This window comes from Homo sapiens, chromosome 12 (genome assembly GCF_000001405.40).
Source record: "Homo sapiens chromosome 12, GRCh38.p14 Primary Assembly".
NCBI lineage: Eukaryota > Metazoa > Chordata > Mammalia > Primates > Hominidae > Homo > Homo sapiens.
Genome location: NC_000012.12, coordinates 67,635,810 through 67,648,586, shown reverse-complemented (window position 1 = coordinate 67,648,586; position 12,777 = coordinate 67,635,810). Strand labels below are relative to the sequence as shown.

The window sequence follows — 12,777 nt, the reverse complement described above, 5'->3', positions numbered from 1 at the left end:
TCCCCCGGTTTGCGCGCAGCCGCCCCTCCGCTCCCCGGAAAACTCGGCGGCCTCCGCTCGCCCTCCTCCGCCCCCTCCGGCCATCTGCACTGCTTCCCTCGGCTCCACTCCGGCGACCTTTTCCCCTCCCCGGCCCCGCGGCGCCCCTTCTCTGCCCTACAGCTCAACCTACCGCTGCTGCCCTCCGGCCGAAAGCGCCGCAGAGACCCCTCCCCTGCCATGCGCACCCCTAAACATAAATGCATTTTCAGCTCTTCGAACTGAATGGCTGCTCACAGACAGTACTGCTTCCCCGTCCCCCCATTCTTGGTCCCAGCGACTTAGCCACTCCCCTCTCCCCAATTCATCATGTAGATAACTTAGTTGTGCGAGGGTCACCTCGGAGAGGCAAGTCCCGGGAGGGGCGGCCGCTGAGCTCGTTGACCCTGAGCAGGGGCGAAAGAGGGGGCTGCCCTCCCACCTCCACCACACACCCTCCCCGGTTTACTGACACCAAGTGACCGCTCGCCAGTCGCTAGGACAAGGGGAGGCAGAGAGGCGCGTGTGGACGGCAGCTGGGGAAGCAGTTGGCTGTGGGTTGCTAGGCAAAAATAAACATCAGAGACATCTCCTATTTCCTTACAACTCCGAGCCTTTCCCCTGCGCGGCCACTGGGAGAGACACACCTTCCTTTCAGCTCTGCGGTGAGGGAGCGACACCTCGAATTCCTCTCACCCCACCCGACACATCTCTTTCCCCCTTCCCTTCCAAGACACGTGGAGAATTTCCCTGCCTTTTTTATTCGCCATATACAACCTCTCTTTTCCTTGAAGACCAAAAAAAAATTGCTTTCCCGTCTCACATCCGCGCCTCGTCGTGCGTGGCACACAGTGCGCCTCTGTTCAAAGGTCACAGGTTTTGCCACTTCAACTGTGAGAGGAGGTGGGGTGGGAAAGCCCGACAAATCCCGGATGACGGGGCAGAGTTATGCCATGCACTTCCTTCTCGAGAGGTGCCTAGTTTCTGAAGTTCTCTTGGGGCCAGGGGTCCATTATGCTCTGCCCCGCCCGAGTATCTCTGGCTCCTGGCTGGACCTACTGTGCAGGCCCGAACTAGTGCAGACTCCAGTCGGAAGGGAGCCACCTCCTGCGGAGTTTCATCCACTCTACTGTTTGCAAATTGTCATAGCAACCTCCTACAGAGCGCATCCGCAGCTTTATACAAACGCCAAAAACTGTTTCAAGGTACAGTGTGACCCTCTCAGAGTCTCTGGGACTCCTAAAGAGGCCTCCAAGTTAGGGTCACTGGGAGAGGGAACCTGTGACAAAAAGAATTTTCCCTAGTATTACGTCCCTCCAAACAAAACAAAACAAAACAAAACAAAACAAAACACCCTTTCGGGGCCTTCTCCTAATAAAGTAGACCCACAGTAAAATAATCCAATAATATGCCTTTAGAGGAATCATGACCTGAACTGACCCTAGCAAGAAATATCCCCCTATGCTTGTCACTGGCGACCATCACATTTAAATCCACATGCGGAAGCATATTTAGTGTTTAGAATCGACTAAAAGAAAAGGGCTACTAAGTAGCAGAGATGACACTAGAACCGGTTTTCTGACTCCCAGTCTGATTTCACTATGACTTCCATCACACTACTTTCCTTACACTTTCAAGAAAGCTCACACCTCTTTTTTCTCCTTTCAAAACAATTATTTTCATACCATTTTCCTTTTTAAAATGAGTACTCCATACAACTGATGTTCAAATAAAAAAATGAAACAAAAAAATCAATTTTAATATAATATGACACCCCTTTTTGCTTAAGTTATTCGTACAATACTTCAGTAGAAGCTAAATATGCCACTGTTTTCTCATGAATAAAATAAATGCTAGTTACTGGAAGCCATAGTTTACGATTTCCAAATTAGTAATATTAATTTACTCATTTAACATGAGGAAAAGGAGCACTGATTCTTTTTTTTTTTTTTTTTTGACAAAGGATCACAATCATTAACTTTAAGAAAGAAAAAGACAATAGGGAACTTTTTGTAGTATATTGTTTTATATCATGACAAATATAATTTCAATTTTGTATATTTTTTGTGGCTTAACATAAGGAAATATTGCAGTTGACCTACCCCATAGCTATTTTGATTATAAATGGTACATCTTTGAAAATTATATTAATTTTTACTGACCTCTAAGTGACTATTAACCATTGCTTAGATTTTCCTCATTCTGTTAAATATTCTATTAAATATTGACATCTCCCTGAGTGAATGTTAAATAGAAAAGCTGTACAAACACACTCCTGGGGCTTTGGGGAGAGTGAAGTGGGTAAATTTGGGGAGTTATTTCCCTCAAATTTTATTATCATAATGCATCATTATCAATTATCTCATATAATTACACATATTTTGATCTCTTTATAAAACACTTTCACAAATATTACCATGTTTAATCTTCATAACTCCACCAGAGCAGATTTCATTTTAAATAGGAACCTCCTTAAAAGCTTCATTCAGTTAGCAAGAGACTGCTCTTTGGTTTTCACCCATTGTAAAAACTCTGTGTGTTCTATATGTTTAAAATCCAGATTCAGATAACAAGGAGGTAGGCAGGATCTAGCAGGAGTAGAGAGAAACAGGAGAACTCAGAATAGAGCCTTGAGGAAGAAAGTTGATTTTTCACTGGGCAAAGTACTGATCACAAGGAAAATTGGAAATGAACATAAAAATTGCTGGTTTCAAAACACATTTACTCATTTAATCCCCTTATCCCAGAAACATTTACAAAGAATTTAGTATGTGCTAGGCCTAGGAGACATGATGAATCATCAAATGCAGTAGACTACACTTCAGTCTGGCAATCTATTAGGAACTCATTCTTGTTTTGTTTTGTTTTTGTTTTTTTGAGACAGAATTTCACTGTGTTGCCCAGGCTGGAGTGCAGTGGCACAATCTCAGCTCACTGCAACCTCTGCCTCATGGTTCAAGTGGTTCTCCTGCCTTAGCCTCCCGAGTAGCTGGGACTACAGGTGCCCACCAACACGCCTAGCTAATTTTTGTATTTTTTGTAGAGACGGGGTTTCACCACGTTGGCCAGGCTGGTCTCCAACTCCTGACCTCAAGTGATCCACCTGCCTCGGCCTCCCAAAGTGCTAGGATTACAGGCGTGAGTCACCACACCTGTCCAGGAACTCATTCTTTTATTCAATTAAGCAATAAGCTATAAGAACCTAACATATTTTTGGCACCGTTGGTGGAATGTTATGGTCTGAATGTTTGTGTACGCCCCAAATTTATATTTTGAAATCCTAACCCACAATGTGATGGTATTAGGAGGTGGTTAGATCAAGTGACTGCAGAGAGTTAGTAGCCTTTTCCACCATGTGGGGACACAGAGAGCAGGCACCATTTATGAACAAGGAAACAGGCCCTCACCAGACACTAAATCTGCCAGCACCACGCTCTTGAACTTTCCAGCCTCCAGAACTGTGAGAAACAAATTTCTGTTTGTTACAGTTACCCAGGTTATAGTATTTTGTTATAGTAGCCCTAACAAACTAAGACATGGGGCTACACAGTTAAATAATCCCTGGCTCTGGTCACTGCTACTAGGAAGTTCACAGTTCCGTACGGGAGACCAGACATTTAATGAAGTGAAAAGAGTGGTAAAGAAGGCATATAGGAGTCACAGAGATAGCACACAGGAGAGAGGGACGAGCTCCACTTAAGTGGTGTCTGGCAGGGGCTGTGCTTCAGTGGAGGTTTTAAAGACGCGTGGGAATTTGCAAGTTAGGCGAGACAGGTTAGGACATTCCAAGTGGAAGAAATAGGATGTTCAGAAGCGTCAAGTTGTAAGAAAGCATGATGTGTCCCAGGGGAAGGGGAAGCAATTCAGAATAGAGGAAACTTGGGGTGCCAGGCAGAGGGGTGGTACTGCTATCTTCCTAGGGTTAGGTTTATGGATAGATCAAGTCAGGTTAAGAATTATCCTAAACTTGGCCAGGCATGATGGCTCATGCCTATAATCCCAGTGCTTTGAGAAGCTGAGGAGGGAGGACCAGGAGTTTGAGACTAGCCTGGACAACATAGCAAGACCCTGTCTCCACAAAAAAAGTAAAAATAAAGAAATATTCTAAACTTTATCTGCTATGGATATGTGAAAACAAGGTGCAGGGGCTTTTGGAGCAGCTAGATAAATTATTAAGGAACTGACTCATTTTGGTGAAGGTGGATCTAACTCCCTTTAAGAGAACACCAGGCCAGGTGCAGTGGCTCATGCCTGTAATCCCAGCACTTTGGGAGGCCGAGGCGGGTGGATCACTTGAGGTCAAGAGTTTGAGACCAGCCTGGCCAACATAGTGAAACCCTGTTGCTACTAAAAATTCAAAAAAATTAGCCAGGCATGGTGGCGGGCACCTGTAATCCCAGCTACTGGGAGGCTGAGGCAGGAGTATTGCTTGAACCCAGGAGGTGGAGGCTGCAGTGAGCCAAGATTGTGCCACTGCACTCCAGCCTGGGAGACAGAGTAAGACTCCATCTAAAAAAAAAAAAAAAAAAAAAAAAGAGAACACCACTAACTGGCGGTACCTTCTATGTCTCCATCACCAAGGTCCAGAACTACCTAGAAAAGAATATGAAGACCTTATGGCCTAAAGTCTACTAATGTAAACTTTTCAGAAGTAGGAGGCATGGCCGTCATAACCAAATGGCTACAAGGTATCTGAATTTGCCTCTGGAGTGTGGCTCTGTGGCCACTACTGGTGTGGAAATCAAGAGGAGATTTCTATACCGCTAGAAAGTTGGTGATATGAGGTGTTTGGGCAGGTTGGTTATATGTCGGTCAGGGCACTTGCAGAGCCAGTTTCCTCCATTCTAGGTTGGGGGGTACATTTGCCTCCTAAGGCAATCTAGGTATTTGGAAAGGCTGCAGAGTTAATTCAGCAATTTCTTGGGAACAATACATCTGACTTTTCTTCCAACTGCATCCTAAGGACAGAGTTAATGTTTAAAACCAGTAAGCAGGGAAAAGAGAAAGCTACATCCTGGAGATTGGAGTACTTTAATAAAAAGCTCATAGACAAAGCCCAGTGGGACCTCTGCTGAAACCTCTTCCTTTGATCCAGCAGGACAAATGTCAGAGGAGTGGTGTCCAGTATATCCAGGAGCTTCAAAGGGACAGGAGCGCCATGACTAGGTAGGGTCCCAGCAGCTGGCTTCCAGACCAGTCTTCTCAGGCTAGTGGCCACGCAATTGACACAGCTTATAAAGTAGGTGCCAGTGGAGTCAGCCTCTAGGAGATAAGCCCATGGGGCTGCACGGGGAGCAGCCAGCAAAGAACAGGCTGATTCCTGGGTCCTGGGGATCATGCTGGACCTTGCACCTGGTGAGGAATGAACATGTAAAAGGAGCAACAGAAACTCTGAAATTCTCTACTAGGGAATCTGTTATGAGAGAAGCCATGGTGCAATTTTGCAAACCAGAGAAGAGTAAAGGGAAAAAGTTCTGTGGTGTTCCAGGTCATGGGGTCTTTGGTGCCACTCTAACCAAAAGTCATGCCATCCCCTAGCTAAGAAGTGGTGAGTGAGAGGAGAAGTATGTGCCGTGAGCACTGTGAGAGCCACACTGGACACTGCTGCTGGTCTGCCTTAGCACAGATTCAACAAAACCTTACTGAATGGAACTGAAATTATTTAGCTAAGGATGGGCTAAGGGCAATCACCTACATTCAAACTGTTAAGACTGTTCATACACAGTAAAAATGGACCCAACTTGACTGGCGGCTTAATCCATTAATTCTATATGTATTGATTAGCAAGCTCCTATTATGTTATGTGTCAGGCACTAATCTAGGTATTCAGAACAAAGCAGATCAAGTCCTTGCTCCGTGGATCTTCTATTCTAGCACAAGGAGAATAACAATTAACAAACAGTGCCTATATCACACATCAGGTGGGGATAAATACTAGGTGAAGATGAAGGGATGTAAGAAGATAGGGAGACGCTGGAGAGGGCACTATTTTACTTAAACTTACTTACTGTGAAGGCCTTTCTGATAAGGTGATATCTCAGCAGATTTGAAAGAAGTGAGAAGCTTATGGGAATCTCTGGGCAGAAGGCCTAGGATATGCAAAGAAGCAGCAGATGCAAAGGCCCTGAGGTGGTAACATGTTTGGGGCATGCAAAGAGGGCAAGTGGCTGGAGCAGTGAAGTCAGCAAGAGGGAAAGTCATAGAGATGAGGCCAGAGACATAATCAGGTACCAGGCCACATGAACAAATTTGGATTTCATTTTGAGTGATTTGGGAAATCGAGGTTTAAATATTTGAAGAGACATCAGACCACATGTGGTGTCTTCCACCTGTAATCCCAGCACTTTGGGAGGCTGGGGTGGGAGGATTGCTTGAGCCCAGGAGTTTGAGATCAGCCTGGCCAACATAGGGAGACTCTGTCTCTACAAAGCAAACAACAAACAACAAACAAAAATTAGGCAAGTGTGGTGACATGTGCCTGTAGTCCTAGCTACTTGGGAGGCTGAGATGGGAGGATCACTTGAGCCCAGGGGTTCAAGCCTGCAGTAAGCCGTTATTGTTCCATTGAACTCCAGCCTGGGAGACAGAGTGAGACACCGTCTCAAAAAGGAAAAAAAAAGAAGAAGAAGAAGAAAGAGAGATAGCAAACCCACATGCCTGTAATCCCAGCACTTTGGGAGGTTGAGGCAAGCAGATCACCTGAGGTTAGGAGTTCAAGACCTGCCTGGCCAACATGGTGAAACCCCATCTCTACTAAAAATACAAAAATTAGCCAGGTGTGATGGCAGGTGCCTGTAATCCCAGCTACTCAGGAGGCTAAGGCAGAATTGCTTGAACCCGGGAGGTGGAAGTTGCAGTGACCCAAGATCACGCCATTGCACTCTAGCCTGGGCAACAAGAGCGAGACTCCGTCTCAAAAAAAAAAAAAAAAAAAAAAGCGGGGGGTGGGTAGCAAACCCAAGGTGAGAGATTACAACAGACTCTTAAAAAGAAATCCTCAGCCAGGCGCGGTGGCTCACACCTCTAATCCCAGCACTTTGGGAGGCTGAGGCGGGCGGATCACAAGGTCAGGAGATCAAGACCATCCTGGCTAATATGGTGAAACCCTGTCTCTACTAAAAAAAAAAAAATACAAAAAATTAGCTGGGCATTGTGGTGGGCGCCTGTAGTCCTAGCTAATCAGGAGGCTGAGGCAGGAGAATGGCACGAACCCGGGAGGCGGATCTTGCAGTGAGCCGAGATCGCGCCACTGCACTCCAGCCTGGGCGACAGAGCGAGACTCCGTCTCAAAAGAAAAAAAAAAAAAAAGAAAGAAATCCTCAATGTATATGCATTTTTACACCCTTTCGAAGTCACATTGAACTAAGCACTGTGGAAGATAAAAACCAAATGCAAGCCATGGTCTCTATTCCCAAGGAGCTTTCAGCCTAGCTCAGGAGGAAAGCCACACCTCTGGAAACATTTCAACAGCACAGTAAACAGCATGTGCTGCATATTTTCCTTTTGCTCATCAGATTCACTCTCTACTCTTTTCCACCCTGCTCTGTGCCACAGGAGGCTTTTTAAACAGTGTCACTGAGCTCCCTTGCCCACTGACTTCTAGAAGGATTTGACTAGTGAGAGACGGAAGCCAGTGAGGACAGGCTATTTATCTCCCTGGTTCCCTTCATGATGGTTTGCCAAAGATTGGCTATGCCCCTTGCCAGAAGACCTCAGCTCCTGTCAGGAGGCCCTCTCCTCCAGCTGTAGATATTCCCTTGGAGTTTTGCAAACCATCCAGTCCCCTTGACCCTTCAAGCCTAGAGGTAGTAAGGATTTCCTGCTGCTGCTAGCTCCAGGGTGCTTCATTTTCTCTTGTCAATTTCCCTTCATCCTATCCATACTTTAGCACTCGGTCTTTACATTAAATTCTGATTGTGTCCTGTTTGTTCTGCCAGATCCTGACTGGTACAGAGGATAACATATATCTAAGTACCATGTAATGTAGATAATGGGATCTCCTGAGGGCTAGGAGAATTGGGTTTGTTGGAGGAGTGAGAGAAGAATTCCTGGAGAAAGTGGAATTGATCTGAGCCTCAGAAAATGAGCAGGCTTCTCTTAAGCAGAAGAAAGTCACTCCACACTAAGGGAGCAACAGAAATGAAGGCAGAGAAGTGGGAATAAGCACTGCAGAAGGTCAGGTGGTCCTTACGTAGAGAATAGGAACTGAGGACTGGAAAATAAGGTGTCGAGGAGCACAGCGAGGTGAACCCAGGTCACGGACTACAACGAAAAGCCAGGAAGAGGTTCACATGTGAGGTGGATGGACACAAGAGGCCACTGGAGATTTCTGAGCAGCGAGTTGACCTGAGGAAAGTGCTAAGTAGGGAAGGTGCATCATTTTGGCTGCAGAGTGTTAAAGAAACCGGAGTGAAGAGAACAGTTCAGAGGTCATTCTCAGGAGCACCTGAGGGTGGTCCCAGAGCAAGGCAGAGGCAGATACTATTTATTTAGATGCTTCCCCTAGAGCCCAAAAGAGGAGACTTCATTTTGAAGTAGAGAGAGGCCAGAAGGGCCAGATGGTTTTCTTGCTACCTTTGGGTTTGAGAAGCATACACAATTCTTAAACCTGCTTATCAAGGCATTTTGTAATAAAGCTTATTAAAATGATCAGCTAAAGTGAGATATAATTAAGAGATAATGGGTCAGGGAAATCTGGAATCCAGAAAGATTCCCTCCTCAATCCTTTCCCAGTGGTGTGTAGACAGAATTTATCAATCACTCAGGAAGAAAATAAAGTATTATAAATGAGGAGTAAATAGTGTGCTCTGGAGCCCACTTTAATAACTGATGTCTCATCTGTGGAGAGAATTGATACACTGGCTGCTCGCCAATGTTGGATGCCAACGTTTAAATTTAAGCTAAAGTGTACATGTCATTAAAAGAAAATGCAAAAATCTAAAGACCTCTCTTTCCTTTGTTATCCTCTTTTTAAAGAGCTATTGTAAAGAGATGAAGGGGAGAGACACTCAAACACACCAACAGGATCCAGAATGACCCATTGCCCTGGTTTACTGGCAGCCCTGGGGGTCCCATACACCTTGGGGATATGAGCCAACCCTGCTTATTTGGCCCCTCTAACTCCAAGCCTCCATGGGCCAAGTCCAGGGATGTAGACTTTCATTCTCCCTTCAGATGTAGGTCTATTATAGGGGAAGTTTAGAAGTGTCTGGTTCAGGATAGCCGTGCTCACCAGGAAAACCCAATGACCCTAAACTATCACTGGGGCTTCCTAGACCTGGGTTGCATGGAAAGAATGCAGAAGAGTCTCAGGCTAAGGGACCCTTCCAATGAGTAATAGTATCCTTACATCTTGGCTGCCTGAGTACCCTCAAAATAATAGCTAATACTTATAGAATGCATTTATCATGTCAGTTAGTGTTGTAAGAGCTTTATCCATGTGGACAAATATAGTTCTCACAATCATCTTGTGTGGTAGGTCTATTAGTACTTTTTTAGAGATTAGGAAACTGAAGCACAGAGAGGTTAACTAACTTGCCCAAGGTCACCCAGCAAATCAAATGCCAAGGCAAGTAGTTTGGCGCTACAGTCTATGCAGATGTTGCTTTCAGCATTAGGTAAAGATTTGACTAGATCACCACCATGACCACATCAATCTTGTTATTACCATCAATAACATTTCATATCACAAAATGAGCTGTTCAGTGAAGCCCCTCATGTTGATATGGTCAGGCCACTCTCTGGCTTTCCCCAGTAGCCTGTTACCCAGGGCAAGCTTACTTCATAGATGGAAACAGTGAAATAAAAATATCTAAGAGACATGTACAGAGACATTAGCAGGGGTAGACAAGGCATTAGGTTTAGAATCCAAATTTGTTGACTGCTAACAAATTTCTCCTTTTCTTTTCCCCCAAACCCAATTATTACAAAATTTCCCCCATTTTAGAGATGAGGGGTAGGTACTCCCAAAAGCACATGCCATATAATGGGCAAGCTTTGAGGCGTTAGGACTGCAGGGGAAAATTCTTACTGTCGCCCCGAGAATGATTTGAATCTGGTGTTTCAGAATAAACTTTGCCAAAGTCACAAAAAGTCCAAACGTAAGTTAATTATTTCTTCTTTATCTTATTGCAACAAATCTACCCCTCTGCTTCAAATGAATGAAAAAGAGGAGTCCATGGCAGTAGAAATAGGTCCTGTCTACTGATATTGCCATTCCACAGAGGAATCTAGCCACGCAAGGGCCTTGGAAAATTGCTTTTAATTAAATCATACATTTATGCACATCTGCACTCTTACTTAAGTTAAAATCTGGGGTGGCAATATGCTGGCTCATTTCAATAGTATAAACAGTCAGTGGGCAATCTAAGGCCCAAACCCATGTTTGTCTTTAATTAGCTAGGCGAAGGCAAGAGAAATCATTTTTGATGATTGAATAATTTAGACAATTGTTCTTAAATTGTCCTGGAAATTTTTTAACACTTTTACATTCGAAAATGTCTTTGATTGAAGAAGAGCTACTCTAAGTATCATTGTAGACAGTACATTGTGCTTGTTATTTATCTCTCATAAGTGATATTGGACATATCCATTGTTCACACAGCACTGTTCTCTAATGAAGGTTTTGAAATACAGAAACTCTAAAGGCCTGTAAGCAAATATTTGTATTTAGCACGTGTGCAGGTGACTGGCCATTGATCAGCATTTCCAACTGGCACAAATAATACAAACTAGCCAAGAAATAATAAACTATTGGTAGGCAGATAATAACAGTTACGAAAACAGAGATTACAAGGGATTTTGTTAATTGGGCAGGAAAAAGAGGTTTGCTTATTGGAAAAAGAAAAAAACAGCTTTCTTGTGACCTGGAAGGGACAAAGAAATAGAGAGATCAATGCTTTCAAAGAGCAGCAAAAGATAAATAAGTCATAGTGAAGGTACTAGAAAGGATGACGAGCAAGAAAATAGGTGTGGGATTTGACTCAGCAATCCCATTACTAGGTATATACCCGAAGGAATATAAATCATGCTATCATAAATACACATACATATGTATGTTCGTTGCAGCACTATTCACAATAGCAAAGATATGGAATCAACCCAAATGCCCATCAATGGTAGGCTGGATAAAGAAAACATGGTACATACATACTGTAGAAGACTATACAGCTATAAAAAAGAATGAGATCATGTCCTTTGCAGGAACATGGATGGAGTTGGAGGACATTATCCTTAGCAAACTAATGCAAGAACAGCAAACCAAATGCTGCATGTTCTGACTTATAAGTGGGAGCTAAATGATGAAAACACATGGACACATGAAGGGGAACAACACACACTGGGGCCTACCAGAGGGTGAGGAGGAGGGAGAGGAGCAGGAAAAATAACTGATGGGCACTAGGCTTAATACCTGGGTGACTAAAAAATCTGTAAACAAACCCCCGTGACACGAGTTTACCTATATAACAAGACTGCACGTGTACCCCTGAACTTAAACGTAAATCAAAATAAGAAAATGAATGTGGAGAGACAGCAAGAATGAGAAAGGAGGAGATAGGAGAAACTTCGTAGGAATTTTTACAAGGAAGAAGAGGGACAGGATGAAATGTATGAGATGAGGCCAAGCATGAGATTGAAAGCTTTAGGCAAAAGATAGAAAAAAAATCACTAGAATATTAGAATCAAATTATTTTCTTATAGTACACATTGTTAACTCTTTTCATTTGGAGCTACAGTCTTGTTCTGTCTATCAACGATTTGGTCAACAATGGACAATACATATGATGATACTCTGATAAATTCTAATAGAACTGAAAAATTCCTGTTGCTTAAGTGATGTTGTAGCCATTGCAAAGTCGTCACACAATGTATTATTCATGTGTTTAAGATGCTGTTGCTGTAAACAAACCTACTGTGCTGCCAGTCCTATAAAAGTATAGCAGATGTACAGTATATAATATTTGATAATGATAATAAACAACTATGTTGCTGGTTTATATAGCTACCATGCTCAAGTTTTATTCTTAGAGTGTATTCTTACTACTTATTTTAAAAATCAACTTTAAAACAGCATCAGGCAGGTCCTTCAGGAGGTATTTCAGAAGAATACATTGTTATCCTAGGAGATGACAGCTTCACTACATGTGTTATTGCTCCTGAAGACCTTCCAGTGGGACAAGATGTGGAGGTGGAAGACAGTGATATGGATGATCCTGACTTTGCAAGCCTAGGCTAATCTGTCCTTGTGTCTTAATTTTTAATTTAAAAAATTTAAATAAGAAAATTTAAGGCCGGGCATGGTGGCTCATGCCTGTAATCCCAGCACATTGGGAGGCCAAGGTGGGTAGATCACCTGAGGTCAGGAGTTCAAAGACCCAGCCTGGCCAACACAGTGAAACCCCAGCTCTACTGAAAATATAAACATTAGCCGGGCATGGTGGCGCTTGCCTATCCCAGTTACTAGGAAGGCTGGGGCATGAGAATTGCTTGAACCCAGGAGGCGGAGGTTGCAGTGAGCTATCGCACCACTGCACTCCAGCCTGGGTGACAGAGCAAGGCTCTGTCTCAAAAAAAAAAAAAGGAAAAAGCTTATAGAATAAGAATATACAAAAAGAAAATAATTTTGTACTGCTGTACAATGTGTTTCTGGGTTTGTTGTTGTTGTTTTTCAAGATGGGGGGGTCTCACTATATTGCCCAGGCTGGTCTCAAACTCCTGAGCTCAAGGGGTCCTCCTGTCTTAGCCTCCAGAGTAGCAAGG

At 43.7% G+C, this 12,777-nt stretch overlaps 1 annotated feature.

The window, feature by feature from the left end:
• Positions 70–179: a silencer, noted in NCBI's record as "silent region_4641". NCBI's record gives its function as "represses an Ori minimal core promoter by ATAC-STARR-seq in GM12878 lymphoblastoid cells {active_cell/tissue: GM12878}" and the evidence as "EXISTENCE:reporter gene assay evidence [ECO:0000049][PMID:35858748]".